The 21,836-nt window shown below is 38.3% G+C and overlaps 1 protein-coding gene across 1 annotated transcript in view, besides 2 other annotated features; it reads left to right on the top strand.

Annotated features, from left to right (window-relative positions):
- SVEP1 (sushi, von Willebrand factor type A, EGF and pentraxin domain containing 1) overlaps positions 1-21,836 on the top strand; it is a 214,494-nt gene that overhangs the window by 93,097 nt on the left and 99,561 nt on the right. The window contains exons 10-18 of the mRNA NM_153366.4: positions 2,952-3,059; positions 4,153-4,284; positions 5,209-5,403; positions 6,889-7,010; positions 10,330-10,441; positions 14,322-14,486; positions 15,048-15,281; positions 17,544-17,705; positions 20,619-20,780. Of these exons, the coding sequence (NP_699197.3) occupies positions 2,952-3,059; positions 4,153-4,284; positions 5,209-5,403; positions 6,889-7,010; positions 10,330-10,441; positions 14,322-14,486; positions 15,048-15,281; positions 17,544-17,705; positions 20,619-20,780 (1,392 nt within the window). The remainder of the gene's footprint in view (positions 1-2,951; positions 3,060-4,152; positions 4,285-5,208; positions 5,404-6,888; positions 7,011-10,329; positions 10,442-14,321; positions 14,487-15,047; positions 15,282-17,543; positions 17,706-20,618; positions 20,781-21,836) is intronic.
- Positions 15,121-15,290: an enhancer, noted in NCBI's record as "experimental_105151 CRE fragment used in MPRA reporter constructs". NCBI's record gives its function as "activates a minimal promoter by MPRAs in K562 erythroleukemia cells, with activity observed for the introgressed 9:113233720 variant allele {active_cell/tissue: K562}" and the evidence as "EXISTENCE:reporter gene assay evidence [ECO:0000049][PMID:34662402]".
- Positions 20,743-20,912: an enhancer, noted in NCBI's record as "experimental_105134 CRE fragment used in MPRA reporter constructs". NCBI's record gives its function as "activates a minimal promoter by MPRAs in K562 erythroleukemia cells, with activity observed for the introgressed 9:113228098 variant allele {active_cell/tissue: K562}" and the evidence as "EXISTENCE:reporter gene assay evidence [ECO:0000049][PMID:34662402]".

The following is a 21,836-nucleotide window of genomic DNA, read 5'->3' as shown; positions in this document are numbered from 1 at the left end:
AGAGAGAAAGAGAAGGAAGGAGAAGGAAGATGAAGCAGAGAAAGAAGGAAGGAGAAGCAGAGAGGGATGTAGGGAGTGAGAGAGACAGACAGAAAGGGACAGAGAGAGAGAGAGAAAGAAAATACACCAAAGCTTACATTTTTCTTATTTTCTTCAGGGTGTTGGTGTCACCCTTATGATAAATGAGAGTCAAGCCAGGAATGCTTCTCCTTGGCTGCCACAGAGTATTGCCTCACTTGCTTTGAAGTGGGCTGTGCCTCTCCTTTGGAGACAGTACATCTGCTGTCGCCTCCAATTCTTTTGACAGTAATTGACTGAGCCTTACTGCCCTCTTGCACCTGTGATTTAACTTTAAAATGTCTGAATAAAATCAGATATGCCCAGAAAATCTTTGAATATTCAATTGTCATTTCTTTTGGCAAAATAGTAAATACTGCTGGATTTGTAAATTTAGCTATGAATTGACTTGATTCAGCATTCTCAAAGTACACTGACCTGCTATGAGCATTGCTTTATCCTTTATCCAGCAACTTGTTTGAGCACCTGTTATAGGCCAGATGCTGTGCTATCTAGTGGAGATCCAAACATGAGCAAAAGAGACTGCATCACTGGTCTACAGAGTTTACTGGTCTACAGTGAAATAATAAACTGCATCACTGGTCTACAGTGAAATAATAAACCTAAGGTCTGCACTAATAACAAACATGAGGAAAAGACAAAAATTGAACATATGTTCATGAGACTTGGCTTAAAATGGGAATCCATATATTCTCACAGGTGCAGTTCAGTTAATTTCAGAGTATGTATTTGCATATATCTTGGATAGGAATACTTGGTCTTAATGCTTGTGGCTACAATTTAATAGCTTACTGACCTCAAGCAAGTTTCTTAAGTTTGCCTTGTCTAACTAACATTCCTCACCTACAAAATCAGAAAAATAATGTTTTTGCTATCTCCCTCAAACCTCAAAGGCATGTAATAAGAACACTTCAGATGTATAAAATGTATAATTAAATTAAAGTTACTTTCTATACACCCTCTTTTTAATTTAATTTAATTTTAAGTTCCAGGATACAAGTGCAGGATGTGCAAGTTTGTTACATAGGTAAATGTGTACCATGTTGGTTTGCTGCACCTATCAACCCATCACCTAGGTATTGAGCCCTGCATGAATTAGCTGTTTATCCTGATGCTCCCCTTCTCCCCCAACCCCTGAAAGGCCACAGTGTGTGTTGTTCCCCTCCCTGTTTCCATGTGTTCTCATTGTTCAACTCCCACTTATAAGTGAGAACATACGGTGTTTGGTTTTCTTCCTGCATTAGTTTGCTGAGGATAATGGCTTCCAGCTCCATCCGTGTCCCTGCAAAGGATCTGATCTTGTTCCTTTTTATGACTGCATAGTATTCCATGGTGTCTATGTACCACAATTTCTTTATCCAGTTTATCATTGGTGGGCATTTGGGTTGATTCCATGTCTTTGCTATTGTGAATAATGCTGCAATGAACATACACGTGCATGTATCTTTGTAACAGAATGATTTATGTTCCTTTGGGTATATACCCAGTAATGGGATTGCTGGGTCAAATGGTATTTCTGGTTCTAGGTCTTTGAGGAATCACCACATTGTCATCCACAACGGTTGAACTAATTTACATTCCCACCAACAGTGTAAAAGCATTCCTATTTCTTCACAGCCTTGTTAGCATCTGTTGTTTCTTGACTTTTTAATAATCACAATTCTGACTGACGTGAGATGGTATCTCATTGTGGTTTTGATTTGCATTTCTCTAATGATCAGTGATAATGAGCTTTTTTTCATATGTTTGTTGGCCGCATAAATATCTTCTTTTGAAAAGTGTCTGTTCATGTCCTTTGCCCACTTTTTAATGGTTTTTTTTTTCTTGTAAATCTAAGTTCTTTGTAGATTCTGGATATTAGACCTTTGTCAGATGGATAGATTGCAAAAGTGTTCTCTCATTCTGTAGGTTGTCTGTTCACTCTGATAATAGTTTCTTTTGTTGTGCAGAAGCTGTTTAGTTTAATTAGATCCCATTTGTCAATTTTTGCTTTTGTTGCAATTGCTTTTGATGTTTTCGTCATAAAATCTTTGCCTCTGCCTATGTCCTGAATGGTATTGCCTAGATTATACACCCACTTTATTGTTCTTTACTGACATCCTAAAAACTCCACCACATTCAATCATGGCTTTGAAACCTGGCTCACTCACCCCACCTCACATCCACCCTTCAGCCAGAATTCCAGTGCTCAGCAACACAGACTCCCAGTGCTTTAACTTCTGCTGTGGCTTTCATACTCTCTCTCCTTTCCTCACTTGCGGGTTCCCACTCTTTTCTTTGTCTTCATCTAGAATTTGTCAACCTTAGAAATCTTTAGCTCCAGCGTTCCACCTCTGGACATAACCTCCTAGCCTCCCAGCAATAGGCCACTCACACTAACATCTTGCTTATTCTGCAACATAACTCAGATCTCTGGCCCATGGTCCTTCTATTTAGCCATCTATTAGCCCTTGTCTTGACTCTTCAGATAAGAGGAACATCATGGGAATGACAGATGTGGTCATTTCATTCCTTCAGCTTGTCTGGAATGGTTCTCTTCCCTTCCAGTTGGGTCAGCTCAACGACCGTGGACAGAACCCACAATTCAAATGCCCACCACATCAGGAATTGCCTTTCACACACTTGTGACCAAGGTGATTTTAGAAAGGTGGCATTTTTTTCTTCAACAGATGGGGGAAGTATAGCAAAAGCAGCTCTTTCCTTTGGTGTTGGGGATCAGGGAAAAGATATCACAGGAGCCACAGAGTCAGCCTTGTTTCTTGCAAGCTCAAGGCTGTCTGCCAGCACAAGCCGACTTCAGTTCTCTTTTGAAAACCTCCTCATCGTTTGTGAATATCAGCTGTGACTTCTTTGTCTGATTTCATGTTCTTCAGATGCAGAACCACCTGTCATAGACTGGTGCAGATCTCCACCTCCCGTCCAGGTCTCGGAGAAGGTACATGCCGCAAGCTGGGATGAGCCTCAGTTCTCAGACAACTCAGGTGAGGTGACAAGGACTTTGTTGTCAGCATAGTAGCAATGAATTCTTTTTTATTTTAAAAAGCTTTTTAATGGGATAAAAGAGAAAAAGCAAATAACAACTGTCTAGGGAGAATGAATAATTATATAAGTTAACATGTTTTAATGCTAGAATAATTATAATTTAACATTATCAATCTTACCTATCAATGAGAGTTTTCCTAATTCAGTATTTCATGGGCATTTGTTGAACCTGCACTAGGTGTTGTACCTAGCAGGGTGCTAATGAATTTCTTTAGTCTCCAAGCTTATGTTGCTCTAGAGGTATAAACCATGCATTTTATCGGCATCTCTACTGCACATCTATATATTCAGACTCAGTTCTTAAATACTTGACAAATAAAATTATAAAAGGTCATAAGAAAGTAGAAAAAAACTAAGCAAATACAATTGAAGTTTATTTTAAGGGTTTCAGTAGAACTCAGAAAACAACAAAAAATGCAAATTAAGTAATTTCTTAATTTAAGTCCCAATGTCGTAGCAGACTTACCTATTGCCTAGTTGCTTTGTAGGACATCTCAAAGGACTTTGAGAAAATCAGTTGTTTGTCAAAAAAAGCCTTAATTTAATGGGGTTGTTGAATCTACTATTTCTATGTTACTGCATAAAATTAAATCTTTTATTTTCTACTAGTGGGCTAAGCAACATGGAATGCCCAACTGATTTGCATAAGTAGGACATGAAACTTCAAATTAAATAAGAGACTAATAAAGTGACTATAGGCTGGGCGCGGTGACTCACACCTGTAATCTCAGCACTTTGAGAGGCCAAGGTGGGCAGATAACCTGAGGTCAGGAGTTCAAGACCAGCCTGGCCAACATGGTGAAACCCTGTCTCTAACTAAAAATACAAAAATTAGCTGGGCGTGGTGGCAAATGCCTGTAATCCCAGCTACTTGGGAGACTGAGGCAGGAGAATCGCTTGAGCCTGGGAGGTGGAGGTTGCAGTGAGCCGAGATCATGCCATTGCACTCCAGCCTGGGCAACAGAGTAAGACTGTTTCAAAAAAAATATTGTGAATACAACCCAAAAATTGGCTGCCTTCTTTCCTTTCCAGGGGCTGAATTGGTCATTACCAGAAGTCATACACAAGGAGACCTTTTCCCTCAAGGGGAGACTATAGTACAGTATACAGCCACTGACCCCTCAGGCAATAACAGGACATGTGATATCCATATTGTCATAAAAGGTATTGTCTTCATAAGTCCCCAGAATTCTAGTTGACATTTGACACATGTCATTGCTATAGTGCTCTGTTTTATGAAAGAAAATAGGCTATGAGCATTAGATTTTTACAGTTAGAAGACTGACAGGTTTTATTTAGGTTTTCCATTGTCATTCCTTGACCTTGTGATAGATATAAATGTTTTCTCCCAGAACAGTCTTTAGTTAACATTTTGTTAACATTTTCTCTAAGGTTACAATGTATTATTGACATTATCCTATTTTAAATGTTTGAGAAGACAGATTCTGAAAACATATTTGCTGCACAATGTTATCCAGTTTTTGTTTTTATTAAAGGAATGTCAAAAATAAGGGCAGGGCATGGTGACTCACGCCTGTAATCCCAGTGTTTTGGGAGGCCGAGGCGGGTGGATCACTTGAGATCAGGAGTTTGAGACCAGCCTGGCCAATGTAGTGAAACCCTGTCTCTACTAAAAATAAAAAAATTAGCCAGGCATGGTGGCATGTGACTGTGGTCCCAGCTACTCAGGAGGTCAAGGCACAAGAATTGCTTGAATCCAGGAGGCAGAGGCTGCAGTGAGTCGAGATAGCACCACTGCATTCGAGCCTGGGTGACAGAGCAAGACTCTGTCTCAAAGTAGTAGTAATAATAATAATAATAATAACTCCAAGTCAGAAGTACTTTAACTTTTTTATAAAAATATGCACAACCTCTAATTACACGTAGGTACAGCTTTTCAATGTATGTCAATCTAGGAACCAAAAAGCATGTGTTGTCCTTCTCCTGCACTAAAGACATATGGTAAAAGCTTTTCTAGAAATAGCGATAGACAGGAGGAGTCCTTTTCAAAATTCTGCTTAAGCTCCTGGAATTTAATTTATGCTTCTTGTACCACTATATATGAATAGTACAATTTTTTTTACACAGGTTCTCCCTGTGAAATTCCATTCACACCTGTAAATGGGGATTTTATATGCACTCCAGATAATACTGGAGTCAACTGTACATTAACTTGCTTGGAGGGCTATGATTTCACAGAAGGGTCTACTGACAAGTATTATTGTGCTTATGAAGATGGCGTCTGGAAACCAACATATACCACTGAATGGCCAGACTGTGCCAGTAAGTTTTAATTTTATTCTAGACTTCTTTAATGTGTGTGAATGTGTGTACATTTCTAAGTGTTAAAGAGGAAAATTGCCTTACGATAGGAATTAATGGAAAATGGTGCCATGAATTTGAAATGTTTGTGAATAAGAGAATTACTCTTTCCTGGATTTAAAATATTAGTCACTAAAGTCTTATTATAGATTGTATTGCTGTAGGACAAGATTCAGTTTAAGGCAGAACCATCTGAGCCCTCTCATTATTTATCAGAAATATCTGGAGACTTGACAATATGTAATTCTGAACCTGTAAATATGAATTTCAAGTCTCATAGTGGCCAGGCATGGTGACGTATACCCGTAATCCCAGCATTTTGGAAGGCTGAGGCGGGTGGATCACTTGAGCCCAAGAGTTCGAGACCAGCCTACCATCTCTACAAAAATATTAAAAAAAAAAAATTAGTTGGGCCTGGTGGTGTGCTCCTGTGGTCCCAGTTATTTAGGAGGCTAAGTTGGGAAAGTCGCTTGAGCCCTGGAGTTTCAGACTGCAGGGAACTTTGATCACATCACTGTACTTCAGCTTGGGTGACAGAATGAGACCCTGTTGCACAAAAAAAATAGAGAAAAAACTCTCATAGTGTGCAGAAGAGCTACTTTAAAATAAAATCTAACATACATGATGGAATAAAATACATCAATCATAGTCTCTTCATATTTGATTTAGATTTTAAACTATTCTATAATCTTAAATATACATTGTTATAAAAATAACCTAATGTATTCATTTAGTGTAAATAAATATTCTCTGAAGTGAATCTTTGATCCACTACCATAAATGGAATTTAAATACCAGTGTCTTGGAAAAAAATGTGAAACCCACTTAACAGAGCTATTTTCCCCCCAAACTGCAGTAGTAAATAGAAACAATACCATTCACCTCTTTCACAGATTGAGACGGTGGGATGCTAGTAGGAGACTGTCCCTGAATTCTTCAGGGGCATTTTGCAAAGTCTACCATGCAAGCTTTTGATCCAGGGAGAAATTTGTCTTTATGACAATTACACTTTCAAGGAATATGATTGCACAAAAATAATATTTAGAAATGTTTCAATGCCTATTTTTTAAAATTATTATATGTGCTATATAAGATATAACAACTTTGAGCCAGCCAGGATTTTTCAAAAATTCCCAGGAATATAATGAAAACAATTTTTATGTATCTTCTTCCCTTAAATACTCACTTTTTGTATGAATGGAAGATAAAGAATCATATATCAAAAGCAAACTCTTCACTGGATAACTGAGTCCAGTGCTGCTTGGTGCATGGTTTATTATGATCATTTAATGCCTAGAAACTCTCCTTAACTGTCATCTCTTGTTTTTATAACAATCCCACAAATTATGTTAGAATTAAAACATTGTTTCAATTATTTCATAGAAAGTCAAATCTTTGTTTTAAAAACACTAACCAACTGAAGCTGTTTTGTCCAACATTTTCTAGAAAAACGTTTTGCAAACCACGGGTTCAAGTCCTTTGAGATGTTCTACAAAGCAGCTCGTTGTGATGACACAGATCTGATGAAGAAGTTTTCTGAAGCATTTGAGACGACCCTGGGAAAAATGGTACATCAATAGTGGTCATTTATTGTGTGTTCTTTTATAAGGCTTTCATAACCTTTCTGAGTCATTTACAACTGCGATTTCTCATCCTATTTCCCTCTTCTTTGTGATCCAGACATGTACCTAATATTTAAAATTATTCATAGATTTTGAACTTCTAAAATGACTTAGAAGTAAATATGCATTAAAACATTTTTGAATCTTTAAAAACATCCTTAGGAAGTCAGAGAAGCTTAAGGTCTGGATGGTTGGAGAATGCCTTTATTATTTAAAGTTTGACAAAAATGCCAAACATTGTAGGTGGTATTTTGTTTATGATAAGAAGATAATTGGACACTTAAAAGATAATTGTACATTTAAAAGATTTAAAAGATGCATTTTTGTTTAGAAAGGACTCTTACAACAATTATAAAAAAAACAGACCAGGCGCGGTGGCTCACGCCTGTAATCCCAGCACTTTGGGAGGCCAAGGAGAGTGGATCATGAGATCAGGAGTTCGAGACCAGCCTGGCCAACATGGTGAAACCCCGTCTCTAGTAAAAATACAAAAAAACTAGCCAGGCATGGTGATGTGTGCCTGTAATCCCAGCTACTCAGGAGGCTGAGGCAGGAGAATCACTTGAACCTGGGAGGTGGAGGTTGCAGTGAACCAGATCGCGCCATGCACTCCAGCCTGGGCAACAGAGAAAGACTCCGTCTAAAAAAAAAAAGAAGAAGAAAGAAAAGAAAATACAGCAATATATGTAACTGTATTGAACATCTTCAAGGCAGGAACCATGCTAGATACATATTTGTATGCCCTGCAGACTCGGTAGCACTTTATTTATTTGCTAACATTTTATTGTGCTGCTTACTGTATGCCAAGCACGTTACAAGTACACCTAACATATTAACGAATGTCCATTCAAAAACACTTGGTAAAAACGTTATATTTAAATCTATTCAATAAAACCAAATTCCAAAAAGAGAAATAATGTTGTCACTGTTACTAGCAAACCAAGAAAATATTGCGCCCATTAGGCCTCTGTTACTATAGACCTATACTCGAAAGGCAACAATACACTCATACTAATTATACTCCACCCCAAAGTGGTGAAGAAATCTTTAAAATGTTAAATATTTTTGTGTGTGTTAGACTCAGTGTCTATCAGACACTAAATTGTAGCAGGTTAAAGGTGCTATAAGGGAATAGGATGTGCTGTTAAATGCTTATGTATTCATTTAATAAATATTTAGTAAGTATGTCCTATTCTAGACACTAGGGATTTAGATCTGAATAAACAGGCAAAACTCCCTGTGCTTATAGAATTTACATGTTAATGAATAGACCAACAATAAACAAATTACAAGGAAAATATGTAGCATGTCAGATGGCGTATGCTATGGAATAAAATAAAGCAGAAGATGGGAAAGCCTCACTAGGTTCCTGTTTGAGAGGAGACCTGAAAGAATGAGGCAGTGAGCCACGAGCATATCTAGGGGAAGAGCGTTCCAGGCAGAGGGAGTAGCAAGTGCAAAGTCCCTGAGGCAGGAGTGTGTTTCAGAGTTTGAACCACCGTAAAGATGTCAGAGTGGCAAAGGTAGAGAAGATGACAGGCTGAGTGATAGATGGTCAAAAAGATTACATGTGGAAGAGGAGATGGGGGTAAGAAGAGAAATCAGACTGTGGAGAGCCTTGAAAGTCACTATAAATCTTTGCCTTTTACTCTAATTAAATGGAAAGCCATTTGAGGGAACAACTTACTGATGACTTTGGGCTCTAGGAGGAGAGGGTAGGAGAGAGTAAGAAGACCACATAGGAAATGAAAGCAAGAGATGATGGTGGCTTGGGTGGCACTGGAGGTGGTGAGAAGTGAATGGATTTTTTTTATATCTTCTGAAAGTAGATTCAGTAGGACTTGCTGATACATTGGAAGTAGATTGTGGGATAAAGAGAAGAGTCAAGGAGGCAGAGCATACAAGGGCATAGGTCCAGGTACTGGGTACTCATGGGGATGGAAGTGTGTGAACGGAGGCTCTTTTCTGAGTTCAATTTTGATCGGCGTAAAAAAAATGATCATCTGAGAGTAAGAATGGGGAGGAGTTGTTGGAGGCTTCAGAAGAGAGAGGTGGTGTAAAATAATTTTCTAAGAAAGGATGAATAAGTATGCTAAAGAAATGTAGTAAGATTGGCAGCCAGCAGGGTTACATTTTTTCTCAAGCCTTAGTTGACTGTGTAGTACAGGTGTGGGGAAGCAGAACGATTAATTTAACCAAGGTTAAGTGTTGTCCAGGCAAACAAATTGAGGAAGAGGCATGCAAGGGAGGAGACATTCCATGGTGATGGATCGTGGAATCTTAGATGGGTAAACAAGGACATGAAGACATGAGTGGCTAAAGGAGAGGCACTAGGGTCGATGGATTATACATTCTGATGAAGTCAAGGAACTGTTGGATTCCTGAGAAGAGGAGAAGGTGCAGTTTCTGACAATGACAAGGTCTGAGGGTATGACTACAGGAGTGAGTGACAGAGTAAGGCTGGAATACAAGAGAGAAGAGGGAAAGGAACTGAGAATCCAAGGAGATGGAAGAGTTTGCTAGGTGACTATAGAAATCACCAAGAACTATAACAGGGACAGTTACCAAATGTTCTTGGAATGAGGGAGTGACGCAGAGGGGAAATGCTGCAGGTGACTGTCACCAGAAGGGTCAGTGAGTGGTAGAGTTGACAGCATGAGCTTCAGAACTGTGAGCCTTTAAGGGGATATGAGGGAGTTTGATCTGGAAACAGCAACGAAGAGTGAGAAGGACCTTCCTCCACCTTCAGGCCTGCCCCCAATTCCAGAATTCTGGAATTTCTAGTATTTCTAGAATATTTTCTGGGAGATGTTCCAGAAAATTGGAAAGGTTTTAGGGCAAAGGTGAAGAGAACATAAAGAGAGGAGGTAGAAAATAACAGATTTGCTGATTACTGACTGAGCTTCAGAGGGCATAGAGGAAGGCTTGGGGGATTGGGGAAGAGGAGTGGGAGATGGGGTCAGAGAAAGGGTTCCAAAGAGCCATATAGCGAAAGTTTAGAGACAGGAGATATTCCAGGAGCGCTGGGCTTCTCATGGTGAGTGACATAAACAGAGATAAAAGGTGTGAAACTAATCCTGGTGACCAACAGACAGTTAGAGGCTGTAGGGGAGGAGGGTCAGAATCCCTTTGAGGAATGTGCAGAGCTCTGGGGCCCTCCCTTCCCTCCTGCTGATGGAGACGTGAAGGCCAGGGGAGCAAAGTGTTTATCCAAGGCATGCAGAAAAGTGATTTACACTTTATCCTCTTCATTTTTTACTTGCAGGTCCCATCATTTTGTAGTGATGCAGAGGACATTGACTGCAGACTGGAGGAGAACCTGACCAAAAAATATTGCCTAGAATATAATTATGACTATGAAAATGGCTTTGCAATTGGTAATTAAATTCTGTGGCATCGGTAGTTGGCAAGACTAATCTGCAAAATAAGAATAATTCCAGAAAAGTGAGGCAAACTAGAAACATTAACTTCTATTAATTTATTCATCAAGTATTTTAGGATGGCTAAATAATTTGATAATGTGCTGAAAGATCATTAAGGTTATATCAAATTTTAGTAACAAATAAATTATTTAAAATTATTTGCCAGGATTCTTAAAAATGACAAAAACTAAGAAAACTAAGTCACATATGCTGGTAAAATTCAAATGTTGATGTATCCTAAAAGAGAATAGTAATAAAGTCCTAACAGCAACTTTTATATGGCATTCAGTGTAAGTTACAATGAAGTCATTAACATAAAACAGTTACACATGTAAAATATTCAGATTCCTCACCAAAAATATGTTAAGATTCCATTTATTCGAGTCTAATATATCTTTAAGTGGAATTTTGATGTTTTCTCTATGTATACTCTGAACATTTTTATTAAGATTATTTTTTGCCAGGCATGGTGGCACACACCTGTAGTCCCAGCTACTTAGGGGGATGAGGTGGGAGGATCCCTTGAGCCCAGGAGTTCGAGGCTGCAGTGAGCCATGATTATGCCACTGCACTCCAGCCTGGGCAACAAAGTGAGACTTTGTATCAAAAAAAAAAAAAAGATAATAATAATAATGATATTGTTATCAAAGTAGTGTAATGGTTAAACACGTGGACTCTACAACCAACTACTTAAGTCTAAATCCTAGCCTCACTACCTACTAGCTGTGTGATCTTGAGCAAGCTATCAACACACTCTGTGCCTCAGTTTCCTCACCTATAAAATGGGTATATAAGAGTATTCACCTCATGTGACCATTTTAAGCATCAAATGAATAAGTTCAAGTCATGTGTTTAGAAGGTTATGAGATGGTAAGTATTAATTCGCATTACGGCAGACATCTTTTCCATTTCGAATACTAGTCATGTCTGTAATATTTTTGGTGATTTAGCATTAAGAGTGATGTTGACTGTTGCTTTTGATTTTTAAATTTTTTTAAATATCATTTGTGCATATGTTTATTATACAATTTTTAAAATGCTTAAAAACAAAAAATGAAATCAAGATAATCCACAACCCCAGAAATAAGACTGTTAATACATGTATATATTTATAAGTATATATGTATGTAGATACACATATATATACCATACTATATATACTGTATATATACCATACTATGATATATACATATTATTATATATATAAAACTGCTTATTGTGTATATACTGATGCTATTTTGAACACAAATTCTTAGTTAACATTGTATTGAGGACATTTTTATTCACTAAATATCCTACTTCAGTACAGTTTGAATATTATCCCATCGATCAGTTTACCATAATTTATAGAAATAGTTTCCTATTGGTAGATTTTGGGTTATTTTCGGTTGTTTACTATTATGTACAGCACTTTAGTGAACATTTTGGAAATTAAGGTTTTAGATAGGAAAAAGTAAGGTGGCATTGTCAGTAACATATCTAGAATAATCAACCCTCTTCTGTTAAACACGATCCAGGTTTCCCCTCCCAGATTGTTGCGGTAGGTTTTGGGGGCACAAGGTTACACCTAGAGAGAGTCAGTTGTCATCACAAGTCTATGAGATGAGCGATATTTGTCACCTAATAAGGGTCCAAATGGCAATTCTTGAGAAAAAAGCATGGGCAGGTGGCACATGTGATCCTGTGATCCTAAAAACAAGCATTGCTCCCCAAATGTATTCCCAGTAGAAAGTCACAAGATCGGTGTAACATTTATAACCATGCCTTGGAAGGTCATAATGTATGAAAAATAAGCAACCAGTAAATATAATAAAATCAAGTTGACTTCATAATAATCATGTAATATAAAATTAAAACTAGGCCAGGCAAGATGGCTCACACCTGTAATCCCAGCACGTTGGGAGGCTGAGGTGGGCAGATCACCTGAGGTCAGGAGTTAGAGACCAACTTGGCCAACATGGTAAAACCCCATCTCTACTAAAAATACAAAATTAGCAGAGCATGGTGGCACGTGCTTGTAATCCCAGCTACTCGGGAGGCTGAGGCAGGAGAGTCACTTGAACCCGGGAGGGGGAAGTGGCAGTGGGCCGAGATCATGCCATTGTACTCTAGCCTGGGCAAAAAGAGCAAAACTCCATCTCAAAAAATAAAATAACTAAAGTGGAATGCAATTTTTGACCTGTCAGATTAACAAACAAGAATTATAATACCCACAGTTGGCAAGAATGTAGGGGAAAAAATCATATTCATACATTGTATAGAAAGAAATTAAGAGGGCATTTGACAATATGTATCTAAAGGATTTTAAATGCCCATGCACTTAGACCCAGAAATTTCATTTCTAAGAATATTTCTCAAGGTAAAAATCATGCCATTGTGCAAATATGTACTACATTTCATAAATTTTGAGATGCATATTTTTCCTTTAGACCTGAAATTGGGATGTATCTTCTAACCGATGGTATCTTAGATTTGATTAAATACCGTATGTGCAAGGATATTCTAAACATTTGAAATAACCTAAAAGTCTAAAAATAGAAACTGTAGGTTGTTTGTGTTGTACCATACAAGAGAGTATTATGTGGCCATTTCACATAGAAATGCCATAAAATTTGAAAAAGATTACTAAATAATACATACATAGCATAATCTTGTTTTGTTAAAAGTGTGTTGTTTGTTTTTATTCCAGGTTTGTGTGTGTGTATGTATATGTATGTATGCACATATGCATAAATGTATATCTGTGTGTATATTTATACATTCACAGTGGGAAAAAAGCTTGCCTAAAATGTTCATGGTGATTATTTCTATGTGGTAGCATTGTAGTAATTTTTAATACATTTCTCTTTGCTCATTTTTTTTATAACAGCTACTTAATGCTTGTGGAGAAAATGTTTAAGTAAAAAGATGATATTAATCCCAGTTAATTTTAATAGCCAAAGCATAAATAAAGCCAAAAAGTTCACAAAACAATTTACTTAAGTAGAGAGGCCTATATAAATATAAATTATTGTCTAAAGTACATAACAATAGAATGGCCAGAATAATATTCATATAGTTTTATAATAAGTCAAATACTGAGTTTGACAGCTTATATATTTTGTCTCATTTAATCCACAGACAAATCTATCAGGTAAGAATCATCTCAATTTATAAATCAAGAAACTGAGGCTCAGAAAGATGAAAGTAACTTGACTAAGATTATACAGCAGCCTACATCGAGAAGCCACAATCTGAACCCATGCAGTTAATCACAGTGATATCAAGGGCATCTAGAGAATTCCATGTACCCTTGTTGCCTCCAGTGTGGTTGTATGATAGAATCATTTAACTTATGTGCTGCCTTTGAAAACTACCCTTACCTTTAAAATATGATGAAAGCATCTTGAGTAATCTTCATGAGAGGAGATCTATTTATGTATATTAATAGTTTTAAGGTCAATTTTAAAAAAAGAAAAAAGGATTGGAGAAAGCCTTGCAAAGAAATAGAAATTGACTAGAATTTTGCACCCAGCTCTTATTTACCTCTAAAATTTACCTCTAAAGCTAAAATAATTAACTATTAACTCAAAGATAGAGTGGTATAAATGCCCTAGTAGTTCCATAGAGACTTTTCTTTCTTCTTTTAGTATTATTCATTGGTAATCTGTATTAAATATGAAGTGATCAAAAATTACAATATATATAACATTGTAGACCAAACCCTGTATGCAGTATGTTATGGGCATTTGAGGAAATGGTCAAGTGTAATTTCACTTGTGGCTTAACATTAGAACCTGAACGCTGACGAAAAAGCAACTGTGTGATCATTTGTGTCTCTGCCCCGACTATCCAGGACCAGGTGGCTGGGGTGCAGCTAATAGGCTGGATTACTCTTACGATGACTTCCTGGACACTGTGCAAGAAACAGCCACAAGCATCGGCAATGCCAAGTCCTCACGGATTAAAAGAAGTGCCCCATTATCTGACTATAAAATTAAGTTAATTTTTAACATCACAGGTAAGGATAAACTGTCTATTTGAAAAAGCAATATAATGGAAAATTCTTGGTTGGAAACCTGCTTCTCAAATCTTCCATTTGTTATCATTATTAGGAAATGACTCTGGAATTGAGAATTAGGGAAAGCACAGTTAACTAAGCCTTGTCATCTTTTGCTGTCAGTATCATAGATGTCTTTTGTAGGTCTCACGGCGAAAAGCACCCTACTTCGTTCTCATCTTGGCATGATTAAGGTGCGCTTTTAAAATGCAAGAATTTACAGGAATTTATTATGTTATAATAAAGAACTCCCAAAAAAGGTGATATAGATTTAGCATCTGAGAGGACTGAAACAAATTGTATAGTTCTTAGTCTTATCCATGTACTTAACTTAATTGTTCACTAAATAGTGGTTAAATTTATTTTGAATTAATTTTTCCTGAAAGATTTTTATTTTTTTTCTATAGACCACTTATTAGTACTAAAAGATTTTAAGTATTTCTGTTTGGTAAAAAATTAACTACAAATGACTTTCTGAAACACCATGTGTTTGTGTTGTGTTTTATTTTGTTTTTATCTCAGCTAGTGTGCCATTACCCGATGAAAGAAATGATACCCTTGAATGGGAAAATCAGCAACGACTCCTTCAGACATTGGAAACTATCACAAATAAACTGAAAAGGACTCTCAACAAAGACCCCATGTATTCCTTTCAGCTTGCATCAGAAATACTTATAGCCGACAGCAATTCATTAGAAACAAAAAAGGCTTCCCCCTTCTGCAGACCAGGCTCAGTGCTGAGAGGGCGTATGTGTGGTAAGACTGTTCCCTGTGATCAAAAATATTTGGTGCATACTGGGTCAAATGAGATGGGTGTAGCCATTTTACAACTATAAAGGGATATTGAAATGAAACATATTTTGCTCTTGTTGTGTGGTTGTTATTATTACTATTTTGTCTCAAGAGTCTAAGGAACTACTGTTGGTAGGGACAGGAAATCTAGTTCAGGGAGGGACTCAAATCTGATTTTTATTTAAAGATCTTTAGACCTCACAGCTTTCAGTAACAGCTCCAATAATAATAATGAATACTTTTTGACCACTTCTGTATTCCAGCTGAGCACCAGTCATGTTTAATCCTGTTTAGCACCTCTGTGAGGTACCATTATTATTAAACACATTTTACGGATGAGAAAACTGAAGCCAGAGAGGCTACGAATTTGCCCCTAAGACTTACCCATTAAGACAGTAAGTGGGGAGGGATAGCATTAGGAGATATACCTAATGTAAATGACAAGTTAATGGGTGCAGCACACCAACATGGCACATGTATACATACATAAGAAACCTGCACGTTGTGCACAGGTACCCTAGAACTTAAAGTATAATAAATATATATATATATTTATTTTTCTATATATATATATATGAAGACAGTAAGTGGAGGCCAGGCTCGGTAGCTCATGCCTGTAATCCCAGCACTTTGGGAGGCCAAGGCGGGAGGATCACTTGAGCCCAGGAGTTCGAGACCAGCCTGGGCAACATGGCAAAACCCTTTGTCTACAAAAAATACCCCAAAAATTAGCCAAGCATGATGGCACATGCCTGTAGTCCCAGCAACTCGGGAGGCTGAGGTGGGAGGATTACTTGAGCCCCAGAAGTCAAGGCTGCAGTGAGCTATGATTGCGCCACTGCACTCCAGCCTGGGCAACAGAGTGAGATACTCTCTCAAAAATAAAAATAAAATAAGACAGTAAGTAGTGTGGCAAAAATTCCCATCCAGGCAGCCAACACGAGTCTTAGCTTTTTTTTTAATTGAGGTGAAGTTCACGTAACATAAAATTAACCATTTTAAAGTGTATAATTCAATGGCATGAAGTACATTCACAATGGTGTGCAACCATCACCTCTCTTCCCAAAACATTTTCATCACCCTCAAAGGAGACTCTATGCCCATTAAAGTCACTCCCTATTCTCCCTCCCCACTCCAAACCCCTTAACTTTTAAGCCCGATTCTAGACTGCCATGATCTGGGTCAATTCCAGCCTGTTCCCCAAAGAAATCATCATTTATAGATAAGGAAATCTCCTGTAATGGAACTGTGTACACTCAGCTGAACCGAATGGCATGAATCTTACGTTCATCTCTCCATAAACGTGGGTTCTTGTGCCCTTCTTCCACAGTTCTTATTGCTAGTCCAAGAGCTCCGTTGGGTTTTTTATAGTGTGACAAATTCAGCCAATCAAAAGCACATTAAAATTGTTGTTCTAAGCCTGCATTTGTTTCCTCCCCACCTTGTGAGTAAAAATTAGGAATCACGTTGAGCGGTGTTTCTCATTTCTCAGTGTGATCTTGCATCACATAAAATGCTTGTAAAGTGCATCTTGACTCAGGCCCCATCCTAGGACTAATGCATTTGGAGTTGGGGTCTTGAAATCTGCGTGTTTAACAAGTACATGGGTAATTATTACACACTTTTTAACATCTCAGAATCACCTAGGTACTAATCTCAAGTGTCTTCCCCATTAAGGATATTAACTTTGGTAGCAGGCTTTTCAGTTTAATGTTGTATTTTGGTCTCAGAATTTCTGAGCCACCCCAAACCTACCAAATCTCAAGAAAAGGAGGGTGCTAACTGACAAGCAGTCAGTTTCAATGGGGAAGCATTCAGAGAAACAACTAAGAAAATGTTTGTAGTATCTGAAATCCTCAAAGGAACCTAACTAACTGTTTTTTCCTTTTTTCTCCATCAGCTTTTTCTTTGTTAACTGTCTTTCCCGTGATGATCTGGCTTATCACAGCTTTAACCCACACTTTTAAACCCCCATTATATAAGCCTTAAGCTTGGTCAATAAGAATTTGCTTTATCTTTAAAAAATAAACGAATGTCTTACTGTTGGTTTCTGGGAATATATTTCTGAAAGGTTTACCTTGTGAATAAGCCTCTGGCCATAAAATTTAACCCATAAACAATAGCACCTTCAAGCATGCTTTATTACTTTCATGTCTTAGGAAAAAAAAGCCCAGTGTGTTCCACCGTTGTAGTTTATTCAGTGTTTCCTGTTTGCTTTTTCTGTAGTCAATTGCCCTTTGGGAACCTATTATAATCTGGAACATTTCACCTGTGAAAGCTGCCGGATCGGATCCTATCAAGATGAAGAAGGGCAACTTGAGTGCAAGCTTTGCCCCTCTGGGATGTACACGGAATATATCCATTCAAGAAACATCTCTGATTGTAAAGGTAGAGGCTTACTGGACATTTCAACTAGAAGCAGCCCAATTTTTGTTTCCCTTTTGGGGGAAAGAAAGATTTATTTTCTTCACCCAACACTCGGCTCTTGTCTGAGGCCCCTGTGGCAAAAGATAGATTTGCAAGAGAAAAGCATACACATTTATTCAATATAAGTTTTAGGTGACATAGGAGCCTCCAGAAATGAATCAGGGAAACCTGTATATTTTTATGCTAAATTGGATAAAGAAGAGGATAGTTGTGGAGTAGAATGACCTATTGGGAATAAGCTAGGTGGAGCTTAGCAAGTCTTGTTTGTTCAGATTCTTCAATGTATCCCTGTATCTTCAGGGCTAAGAATATTCTTTTCCTCTGAGTATAGGGTGGGCATTTCTCACATGAGGGTTTTACAGTCTGCTTCAAAGGGGAAGGTCCAAGAATTATTTCTAGGTTTTATGATCTCCTAAAGGAAAGAAAGGCAGAAGTTCAGAGACACTTTCCTGCTTCTATGGTTTTCTCAAATTTCCTTCGGCTTGAAATATTCAGTATGCCAAGGCAAGGTATGATATTTAGGGGTAGGGTGTTCTAAGCCCCATCACAGTCCTGAAATCTAAATGGCAAATAAAATGAAACAATAGTATACAGAAAGCAATTTTATTTATTTTTTCTTTCTTTTAAACATAAAATATTACCTGTTTCCCCCACTTTAAAGAAGTCCATTTAGCTTTCCTTTTGGAAATATTCCATTGCTGTCTCTAAGTCAAACTCCAATCCACATTCATCAGTTAGCCTGGTGTGTTAGGCCATTCTGGCATTGCTATAAAGGATTACTTGAGACTGAGTAATTTATAAAGAAAAGAGTTTTAATTGGCTCATGGTTTTGCAGGCTATGCAGGAAGCATAGCAGCATCTGCTTCTGGGGTGGCCTTAGCTTCCAATCATGGCAGAAGGCAAATAAGGAGCAGGCATGTCACGTGGAGAAAGTAGGAGCAAGGCAGGGGGTTGGGGTGGGAGGGGGGAATATATGGTGGCTCACACCTGTAATCCCAGCACTTTGGGAGGCTGAGGCAGGCAGTTTGTTTGAGCCAAGGAGTTCAAGGCCAGCCTGGGCAACATGGCAAAATCCTGTCTCTACAAAAAATACAAAAATTAGCCAGGCATGGTGGTGCACACCTGTAGTCCCAGTTACTCAGGAGAATGAGGTGGGAGGATTGCTTGAGCCCGGGAGGTGGAGGCTGCAGTGAGCTATGACCGCACCACTGCACTCCAGCCTGAGGGACAGAGCAAGACCCTATCTCAAAAAAAAAAAAAAAAAGTAAAAAAGACAGGGGAGATGCCACATACTTTTATCCAACGAGGTATCACGAGAACTCTATCACTAGAACAGCCCCAGGGGTACGATACTAAACCATCCATGAGAAATCCACCCCCGTGATCCAATCACCTCCCACCAGGCCCCACTTCCAACACTGGGGATTATATTTCAACATGAGATTTGGGCAGAGACACACATCCAAACTATATCTATCAGCTGGATTCTGTTCTTGAATCTCACATCAATTAATGGAAAGAAGTCTCATGACACTTTGCAGTTATTGGATTGCTTTTTGTTAGAATAGTGTCTGATGTGATGAGATCAGTTCTCAGTTTACTTGGAAATGAATAACTACAGGCACATGTGCACATATTCTTGCTGCTAAAATATTCAATATTTTCAAAATATTTTCACTATTATTCTCAGTAAGAGTTCCTGATGGAAACGTTTTCTCTCATAATTAAGGCTACCAGCAAGACATGCCTAAAATAAGGAATTTCAAAAGTGTGCTTCTTTGCCATAGTTCTGCATGCAGGTGTGGGTGTTTAATGACTGATATAAACTCTAGAGCAGTGCTACGTAATTGGAAATGCGCTAAACATGTTAGCAATGGTGAAAAGGAGAGTTGTTTGGAGGTCAAAAGCAGAAAGAAAGGCCAGTACTCTGGGAGTCAGGGCATCTGGCCAAAGTCCTGTTCTTCTACAAATCATCCTTATGAATTATAGCAAGTTGCTTCACCTCTCTGGGCATGAAGGTATGTCTGCTTTTATGTTCTACTCCCCACTGGTCCTTGGATGAAATGGCGTGTCTAGGTAGGAGGAGGTAGCAGAGCCGGTTCTTATTTAGAGCAGCCAGTTCTTTTTTTTTTTTTTTTTTGAGATGGAGTCTCGCTCTGTCGCCCAGGCTGGAGTGCAGTGGCGGGATCTCGGCTCACTGCAAGCTCCGCCTCCCGGGTTCACGCCATTCTCCTGCCTCAGCCTCCCAAGTAGCTGGGACTACAGGCGCCCGCCACTACGCCCGGCTAATTTTTTTGTATTTTTTTAGTAGAGACGGGGTTTCACCGTTTTAGCCGGGATGGTCTCGATCTCCTGACCTCGTGATCCGCCCGCCTCGGCCTCCCAAAGTGCTGGGATTACAGGCGTGAGCCACCGTGCCCGGCCGCCAGTTCTTTTTTAAAGCAGAGATTTCAGAGTAGTTTATAAGGCTCTAGCTAGGTTTGGGGTTTTGTTTCTGCCACGCAGGATAACAGTGTACGTATTGAGAACTTCTACATGAACAAATTCCCAGTGTACAACTTGTTCCTATCATAGTGTCCTTCTGTGCTATGTATTTCTAACTTCATTCGACAACTATTTATTGAACGTGTTCTATGCGTCAAACACTGTAAAAGGTCATAATGGAAGTAAATGGAAACAGTCTAAAACTTAGTATAGAGAAGCATGGTGGTGCCACAATATGCGTATGCTTAGCTAACAGGAGAAAGAGCTCTCTGGGTCCCTCATTCTGTCCTTCTGTCCTAAACTAAAATGCAGAAAACCCTATCCCGCACAGTACTAATTTTATGCAGCTTAATATCATTATTGATAGTAATATTACCTTTTTCTTTTCAGCTCAGTGTAAACAAGGCACCTACTCATACAGTGGACTTGAGACTTGTGAATCGTGTCCACTGGGCACTTATCAGCCAAAATTTGGTTCCCGGAGCTGCCTCTCGTGTCCAGAAAACACCTCAACTGTGAAAAGAGGAGCCGTGAACATTTCTGCATGTGGAGGTTATCAAAGCCTTAGACATTGATATTTCTTTAAACCTACTAGGTTCTATGCATGAAGGAGTGGCATATTTTCTGCAAAAACATACATCTACTCTATGCACAGAATGGAAATAACTGTCTCTTCATAAAGAGGTTTTTTTGTTTGTTTAGTTTCTTTTCTCAGCCAGTTAACACTTAGGTATAAATACCTGCCGTGTAAACACCGGGCTGGGTTAGGAACACAAAAGAAGTACAAGACTTGGTCCCAGGCCTCATACAGTAATAAACATGTGGCTTCGTGATATGGTAGAAATATATCTAAACTAGGAACTTCATTCCCTCCTTTATAAAGTGAAGTTCTGTCTAGTGTTTCTTGAAACTCTAAAAATATTTTATTCTGTGGATTATGAATTTCATTCCTTACGAGTTGAAGGTTTTCGTGAGTAGTTATTCAGTCAGGCAGCACATTAGAATCATCTTCACATTTACATGAGTATTTTTAAAATACTGAAACCTGATCCTCTCTCCCAGAGATTCTGATTTAACTTGTCTGAGTAGAGGCTGGGAATTGGTTTTCTTTTTTTTTTTTTAAGTTTCCCCAGGTGATTATTTGAAGTGATTAGGAAAATCTGAGAGCCACTAATTTTGGTTCTCAAATGTCAGCATGGAGAGCTTTTTAAGACAGATTGTGAGGCCTTACCTCCAGGGTCTTTGATTCGGTAGGTCTGGGGAGGGGTCTGAGAATTCATATTTCTGTTAACAAATGGTTTCAAGTAATGCTGATTCTACTGGTCCAGGGACCACACATTGAGAACCACTGGTTTAAATAGAAAAAAAAAGATTAGAGTTCCAATTTTTAAGTATTTCTGACTAACATCCCTACTGAGGGATGTTTTCCAGCAAAATACTCATGAACATGTAAACAGAAACAAAAGATGAAAACTTAGAATGACAATGAAATTAGGACTGACAGTCAAGGTCAGCCTACTTCCAGAAATTCCAAAAAATTGCAACTACTGTAATTTGCAAAGTCAATAGAACTGGACTAAAAAGGTTGTTGTTGGCCTACCTCTGCTA

Source organism: Homo sapiens, chromosome 9 (genome assembly GCF_000001405.40).
Source record: "Homo sapiens chromosome 9, GRCh38.p14 Primary Assembly".
NCBI lineage: Eukaryota > Metazoa > Chordata > Mammalia > Primates > Hominidae > Homo > Homo sapiens.
The sequence above is the reverse complement of the archived record's forward strand: the minus strand, read 5'-3'. Positions and strand labels throughout refer to the sequence as shown.